The sequence below is a fragment of the Homo sapiens genome, chromosome 2 (genome assembly GCF_000001405.40).
Source record: "Homo sapiens chromosome 2, GRCh38.p14 Primary Assembly".
NCBI lineage: Eukaryota > Metazoa > Chordata > Mammalia > Primates > Hominidae > Homo > Homo sapiens.
This window is the reverse complement of record NC_000002.12, coordinates 231926414-231934550: the sequence shown is the minus strand read 5'-3', so window position 1 is coordinate 231934550 and position 8137 is coordinate 231926414. Positions and strand designations below refer to the sequence as shown.

General features: G+C 56.7%; 2 annotated features.

The window, feature by feature from the left end:
• Positions 6811-7465: an enhancer, noted in NCBI's record as "H3K4me1 hESC enhancer chr2:232791796-232792450 (GRCh37/hg19 assembly coordinates)". NCBI's record gives its function as "activates a minimal SCP1, AML or CMV promoter by ChIP-STARR-seq in naive H9 embryonic stem cells {active_cell/tissue: H9 hESC(naive)}" and the evidence as "EXISTENCE:reporter gene assay evidence [ECO:0000049][PMID:30033119]".
• Positions 7867-8086: a silencer, noted in NCBI's record as "silent region_12453". NCBI's record gives its function as "represses an Ori minimal core promoter by ATAC-STARR-seq in GM12878 lymphoblastoid cells {active_cell/tissue: GM12878}" and the evidence as "EXISTENCE:reporter gene assay evidence [ECO:0000049][PMID:35858748]".

Genomic DNA, 8137 nt, shown 5'->3' with positions numbered 1-8137 from the left:
CCAATCAGTCTGGCCTCGTCCTTTCCAGACTTCCCAGAACTTAAAGGGAAAGAATGGGAAAAAGGGACAATGAGGTCCCAGAGAAATGGCCACTGACAGATATGGCAGAGGCCCCAGGGCTCTGAACCGCCCCCCAACCCCGAAAACGGCCACAGGTGGTGGAGGAGCTGTGTCTGTTTGTCTGCCAAGCCACACACCACATTCCCATGGGAGCCCACTGCGCGCGGGGTGGAGACAGCTGTTCCTCTCGGCACATGTGCTCTCGGGGAAGCAGGGTTGCTCGCTCCCCAGCCCGGTCCCTGTGGCTCGCTGGACTTCAATCCACTCACTCATGTGGCTGCAGCAGCCTGCTGAGCCCATGTGGCTGAGGGCAGACCATGTAGCCAGCGGGGGCCTCCACAGCCCCATCTGCAAAATGGGGCAGCTGGTCACTTTGCCAGCACCTTCTGTCTGAGGGCAGAGGAGGCCTGTCCCTGCTGTGCCCTGAGGCCCGGTGCAGTGCTGGGAGTCAGTCGCTGTGCATTTACTGGTCACCTACCAATTTAGCAGGCAGTGGGCTGGGAGGTGGGGCTACTGAGGCGGACACAGGGGTTCCCTGGAGAAGCTGGTGGCGGGAAAGAAGGAAGGTTTGTTGCCACCAGGGCTGTGACAACAACATGCTCGGGAGCTGAGGGACTCCACAGCTGGATCCTGGCTGCCTGTGCTGAGCCAGGGGAGCAGCCTGTGGGAGCAATGGGCACAGTCCCATGGAGGGCAAGCCTCAGGGCTCAGCAGAGGGGGCACACCCTGGAAAAGATTCCCGGGCCCTCTCACTTCCCTTCAGGTCCTGGCCAGGCCCTTCTGCCAGAAGCACTCCTGAGGGTCACACGCTCCTCTCCAGCAACCTCACCTCCCGGGAGGTTCTCAGGGAGCAACCCAGGCACACCACCCGTCTGCCCACTGCTCTGCTGCCCATGGAACTCAAGGGGACAGACAGAAAGTGGCATGCCTGGGATCCAGGCAGGGTCTAGCATCTGGAGGTCTGGGGACAGGCTGCCCAGAGTCTGACACGACTTCTCTGACCCTGCAAAGTTTCCTCCGGTCACAGGAAGGAGCAGGGCTCCAATGTCTGGGCTCCGTCCTCTGAAGCCAGATGCCCTGTCTCCCACCCTGCAGACTCCAGGCCTTCCCCCGCCCTCCCCGGCTCAGCCACCACCCAGCTTTCTGGATTTTCTTGTAACACCTCACTCGCCACCCTGTGTCTGCAAGCTCAGTGAGGCCTGTTCTGCTTGAGGAACACATTTGCATCTAATGGGGTAAGAAGGTGCTGAAGTTAGAAATATTTGCTTGATTTAGTAATGCATGTGAGCATATGTCTCATTCATTTTACCTACGTGAACGCTCCCCCTTCAGGCTGCAAGCTACGGTCAGCAACTAATTCTTTAGAGGCAGTGTGATCATTAGAATCATCTCCATCAAATGATTTTGAGTGTGATTTTTAAAGACAGCAGTGCTAGCAGTCGGCCTGGGCCCAGTCCTTGAACACTGCCCTGAGGATTTGCTTTGCTATTTCCATAGAGGAACCATTGGGGACCCCTAATTTTGCCTCTCCACATGTTATCCCCTTTGCCTTTCTATCCATCCCTGAGGGAAGAAGGCAAGGACACCCCCAGATGTCCTCACTGTCACATCAGGGGCTGTCTGCGAGGGCAGTAGGGCTCTGGCAGAATGGTTATTCCAAGAATGGAGTGTGGGGGAGGTCAAGCAGTGGGCACCGAGGGCATGGAGATGCCTGTGGCTGATGTGTAAGCAACAGAAGCCGGCTCTGGCTGAGGGAAGTGGAAAGGAATGCATTAAAAGGGCATTGGAGGCCGAGCGTGGTGGCGCACGCCTGTAATCCCAGCACTTTGGGAGCCCGAGGTGGGTGGATCACCTGAGGTCAGGAGTTCGAGACCAGCCCGGCCAACATGGCAAAACCCCATCTCTACTCAAAATACAAAAATTAGCCATGCGTGGTGGTGCAAGCCTGTAATCCCAGCTACTCGGGAGGCTGAGGCAGGAGAATCGCTTGAAGCTGGGAGGTTGCAGTGAGCCAAGATTGCACCATTACATTGAGCAGTCAGGAAGGCTCGGGAATAACTCACCCAGGGTCAGTTGCCAACATCAAGTGTGGATCAGGTGGAGGGAGGACCTCAGTGCAAGCCATTGGGGCCAGCCTTTATGTGCCAGCCTTTATCAATGACAACTCTGTCACAGAACAGTGGGTCCTACTGCCACCACCACCCTGCCCAGGAACTCCTCTTGTAGTATGATTCAGAGCATTCCCTGAAGACCCGGCTTCTCTGAGACGATGGCACCCAATTTGAAACTCAGGGCTGGTGCAACGGAATTGGGGCAGTCCAGGTCACATACCCAGGCACAGGTTGCAAGGGTGCCCGAGAAAGCAAGCACATGATGATTCGACTTCTCCAGTGGGCTGTGATGCCGGGCAGCAGCAACCATGGATGGACACGTGCTCACGTCACATGGACACTCGCCTCTACTCCTTACCACCTCTGTGGACATCGACATCCTTAATCAGCTGCTTCCTGGGAAGTTCTGAACCCTACACGACTCTAAGCTGGGATTTTATTTCATAAATTATTTCCCCCACAAGACAAAACAGGTCATCATTTCAGGAGAACGACCTTTCTTCTCCTTGCCAAGTGTACACTGGACATCAGGGACCACCTTGGGCAATCCTCGGGAAACATTTGTTGTGTAAGGTTACACACTGGGCCCAGAGACAATTCACACAGGCATAATGGTGGTTTTTTGAACAATTTATGGGCTTTGGGCTTAAAAGTGTTTTCTAATCCCTGTGGAGCCCAGATTGCAAAAAGTTTGTTCCCTCCAGCCCTCATCAGCATCTGGCTTGGTCATGTCCGCTTCTTACAAGTGTTTTCTGGTCATTCTCATCTTAGAAATTGACCGCTCACCAGGAGGCAGCGGGTGATGACACACTCACGGGGCAGAAGTCTGCAGAGAAGTCTCTGGCTTGGAAAATCCAGAGACACGGCTCCCTTGAGGTGACTGGTGGTCCTGGATCCTAGCAAGTCCATTCCATGATCCCTTCTGGGAAGGTGCCAAGTTAGGGGGCTTCTGTAAGATACTTGGTGGTCCCTTCTATCCATAGGGAGAAGCCCCCTCCTCCTTGAAGACTGTGGCCCCTATCAAATCTGAAAAAAGGTCTCCAAGACCAGACAATAGACATTCTCCTCCAGGTACAAACCAAGAAGGTGGGCTCACTGCAGGGACCCCCCAGAGCAGGAAAAGAGCGGCTCACTGCTTGGAAAAGCTCCATATGACCAACATTTTACCAGAGTCTAGCCAAGGCAAGCTTTTGTCCCTAGGGCAAGAATTTGGCAGCAGATCCATTTGCTCTGCAAACATCTGGTGCAGGCTCTGAGCTGAGGTTGGGGTGCTGAGCTCTTTTCTGCTGGGGAGGCCCTCTTGCTCACTATCCTGCTCACTTTCTCAGGGCTGAAGCCTCTCACTGCCCCACTCACCTGCCCTTTGACAGCCAGATGGAGAGCTGTTGATTCCCCCAGGGAAGTGAGCCTATTTGTGGAGGACCTGTCTTTTCTTTTTGGCAAGCAGGGGAAAGGAGGAATGAACTCTGACGTCATGGACTGCGTAGGACAGTGGGGTTGGAGGCCATCTGGAGCAGGTGCTGGCAGGACCCCTGGGAAAGGGAAGGAGGGCAGCTGGCTCATCAGATGGGGGTGTCCTGGGGTCAAAGACTCATGGTACAACGAGGTTAAGCTTTCCTGGAATCTCTGGCCCGTGAAGGATGAATGACGCTTCCTTGGCCTCCATCTCCTCCAGTACTCCAGTCCAGCGCCATGGGTGCAGGACTCCTGGAGGAAGGTACCAAGCTCAAGGAGACCTGGCCATGCCCCGGCCTCTGTGTGCTCTGAGGGGCTGCACCACTAAACAGTCCTGGGGAGTTTCGGGGGCTGTGGGGGTCCTCTCACCCAAAAGTATGTGTGGACATGCAGTGACATTCAGATCTCTCTTCTGCCTCAGCTGTCTCCTGCTGTGTTTGGCCAGGGAGAGGTTGGAAGCCTCTTATCAGGCCCCAGATTCACTCTGCCCTGTCTAGAAGACAAGGACAGTGTTTTTCTAATTACAGGTGGTGAAACTGAGGGCCCAAAGCAGTGACGGGACTTGGCCAGTGTCCCGCAGCAATTTCCCTGCCTGACCTCAAGACTCGCTCACTGCCTGTTTAGTGTCTTCTCTGAGAAATTATGCAGCTGGAAGGGGGCCCCGGGATAAACAATTGCAGAGAAACAGATGGGCGGCTCTGCAATCCTCCCCTCCAGTGTGCCTGAGAGCCCTCCCCTGCAGCCCTGGGGCCAGGAGGGGGCGCTGCTTCGCGGGGCTCCTGTTCCTCCCTCCTGGGGACCTAGGCTGGACAGTCCTGTCTTAGCTGCTCCTTCCCCAGCCTCCCAGCAGCCCTTCCACACGCCTTTCTCCCACCAGGCATCCTGACCAGGGCCCACTCTCATTTTCTATCACATCCTGATTCCTGGCCAGACATCGCCTGTCCCAAGGAAGGGCCCCTCTCCAGTAGGTGTCAGAGTCGCACCTTGCCCTTCTGGGAGGAGGGAAAGAGTGAAAAGGGGCCCACAAAACGGGGTCCCGCCCTTCAGAGGGCCAGAAGGGAGAAAATGGTCCCACCCATGCAACTCTCCGACGCTGAAGGCCCTGCATACCCCCAGCCTACTGTGGCAGAGCTGATACCCTGGACTCGCCCATGCAACTCTCTGACACTGAAGGCTCTGCATGCTTCAGGCTGGCTCTGCCTCCCACTTCCTGCTCCCTCCCACTTCCCCCACACCTAGCTGACCCCCTTCCCCTTGCCTCATCTTCAGGCACCCCCAATAAGCTCACTTGCCCTTCCCACCCCCAAGAGCTCAGCAGGCTCCTCTCTCTCCATCACACCCCCCACCTCCAGAACACCATCGACCTTAGAATTGCCTCTCCCTAGTCTGCCTCCTCTGGGCACCCCTGCCTGAAGCACTCCACCCTCCCGAGGTCTGGGCACATGGGGTTCTGCAGTCTCATCGGCCTCCCCTGCCCTCTGTGTTGCCCTTTGGTGAGGCCTCTCATTTGGTTTTTCTCAAACAGCACCCCTCTAGGCCTGACTCTAGTACATTCCACTGTTAGCCTGGTTTTCTGTCGAGGTTTTCCTCTTCTCTTCCCTTCTCTTCCTGTGTTTCCAGGCTCAGCACAGACTTTTCCTTCTCCAGGAAGCCCACCCTGCTAGTCCAGGCTGGAGGAGGAGCCCTCCTTGGGTGGCCTCAGCCTGACCTGTCCCCTTCCCTGTCATTGTCCTTTTCAGCCTACAAAGCTCATGTCTGTCTGCTAGGGGGTTCTTCCCGGCTGGATGGAACCCTGCAGGCTTCAGGGATGCTCAGTAGATACCGGGAGATCAGCGAGATCAGTGAGAACGACATGATTCCTTACAGAATTACCGCGGCCTTGGGGCCTTTTCTCCCTCTTTTGCCGTTAGGAGGAAATTTAAAATTGAGCAGTCAATAAAATGACTTGAATAGCTCATATTCAGCTGCTCAGTGAGTTCAACTTTCCCAGGCCATGCCCCTGGGGCCTGGGGCAGAAGAAGCAGACTTCGTAAGGGAAAAGCAACAAAAAGGGACCTGAGTTCCAAATCTAGGCTCAGGAGGAAGAGTGGGCGTCCTCTGCAGCTCCCCAGGCAAGGAAAGCAAAGGGAGAGGGGAAACCTTCATCTCCAAGGCAGTTATGTGCTGATGGCACACCTCCCGGTGGCCCCTCCTGCCCAGGCCTCTGACTCTTACCCACCCTGCCTCCCAGGCCCCAGCTAAGCAGAAGCTGCTCCACAGCCTGCCCCCCGGGAAGCCTCCCTCTGCAGATGACCACCGCCCAGTGGTCAGGAGTGGCAGCTCACCAGATTTCCCTTCCAAAGATGGGAAGGTGAGTCCAGGGAATCGGCTCTGCCACAGTAGGTTGGGGGTGTCAGTTTTATTAATTTAGCCTCAAAGTTCAAACAGAGAGGAGACCTAGATAGTCAATCACCTGGACGCGAATGTGTCTAGGAACACAGAAGACAGGAAGGACCAACCTAAGGACGTTCAGACAGAAGGAAGTAGCCATGAACAGCGGAAGATTTCCTTAATAAGGGGCTTTAGAGGATGTACTGCTGGCCCCTGGAAACCAGCCCAGTGCTTGACTCTAGAGTCAGTCTGTGTGGCTCTGCCTGACTCTTTAAACAGGTATAAAGAAAGCAAGTGTCAGAGAAGTTCCAGATGGTAACATCCTTCTTTGCACAGCAGGCAAAAAGCAGAGGGAACTTTCACAGCCCACCTGGATACCCCTCCCTATACTGCTTTCTAGTTCCTCTTCCTTTCTCCTCAAATGAAAGAGTGGTGCCACTCTATGGGTGTTAGCACGGAGAGGAATTGGGGGGCTGCGTGGAGGTGGTGACTCAATTCACCAGAATCCACAGAAGGTGCCCTGTTGATGTCTGGATCTTCCTGGAGATCAGGAAACTTTGCTGCCCCAAACTCAGACCTCAGGTGTTAGCTGTTTCCTAAGCAAAGTGACCTGTGTAGTGGTTGCTCCAATGTTGTGAGTCAGGGTATGAGAGTGGGAAGGGGTAGCCTGAGAAAGGTGCCGACAGAGCAGACCATGATGCGGCCGCCTTAGCAGCTCTGGGACCAGGCTCACTACCACGGAGGGAAGAGGGAGGCTTGGAGGGAACCTGGTTCTCCAAGCCCCTCTTCACTCCAGTTGCCTTCCTGCCTCAGGCACAGCTTCCTCTCCCTGGAAAATCTCGTCTGGGCTACTGTCTCCCCAGAATCGCCTTCACGCCTGGGGACAGCCACTGCACTCCTGCGGCAACATTTGTTCTCTCTCCAGCCTGCGTCCTGCTCAGCAGCAGCCAGTCATAGATTCCTGCTCTTCAATCAATTCGGGGGATCTGGGCTCTCCGCCTCTGCGGCCCACACCGCAGTGCCCAAATGCCCACCACACTCCTTAGTGTCCAAGGGACCGAGAAGCCCAGTGCAAGGAGAGCAAGTTCGTGAGTGGTAGGGATATGTGGCCATGTCCCGAGAGCCACGGGGACCTCTCTACAGTCAAAAACGGGAAGTTGACCACCTGTCACGGCTGGCAGAGGCTGGACTGGGCCGCTGGCTAGGAAGCTCTCTCCCCAGCCTGTGAAAGTGCACAGGATACTGGAGCGGGCTTCCCCCAGCAGCGGATCCTCGCGTGGGTGCAGGCAAGGTCAGGTGCGCATTGTTCCCACAGAGGGAGTTCACCAGCGGAGTCAGACCCCGGGACGTTCTGTGTGGCCGAAACCGGCTGAACGTGAACCTAGAGCAGTAACTGGCGAGCATACGATGCCGCGGAGCACACGCATGAGCATGAATATCTTGGTTCCGCGCTCGCAGTCCCCTCGTTCCCGCCTTGCGCTCAAACACTCAGGCTGGCGACACCCCTGCACTCTCCAGTGTGGAAGACTTGCGCTCCCCCCTGCGGCCCAGGCGAACCCCGCTCTCCCTGCGCCTCCCACCCCAGTCCTCCAACCCCATCCTCTGCCTCCCCAACCTAACGACGTCGCTGTGGTCTGCGCTCCCGCCCTGACCGGCAGGTGAAAGGCGGAGCTGCAATGCCATCCCGCGGCTGTCAGGTGCCCAGGGAAGAGTTTGGCGACAAGCAGGGCTGCGTGGATTTCGGGCAGCGCCAACTTTATGCCTGTATGACTTTGGGCAAGTGACTTCATTCCTCTGAGCCTGTCTTTGCACCTGCAAAGAGGGCTACGTATCCCTTCCAGGTAGAGTGAGTGCGATGAGGACCTAGTGGGTGCACAGGGCACCAGGCGCACCGATGCTCGGCAGGCCAGGGCGCGCGCTCGCTGCAAATGGAGTTCCCCTGTGCGCTCAGCTCTGCAGCTCCAAGTGCAGCCTGGAGCGAGCCCGCCGAGCCGCGGGATCCCTCCGGGGTGGGATAAGGGAGGGGAGCCCCCGCGGCCCCCTCCCGGCCCTCGGCGCGGCCGCGTGCGTGGTGTCATTGGCCCGGGCGGCCCGGTGGGCGGGAGGATGACATCAGCGGCAGGTTGGATTATAAAGGCGCG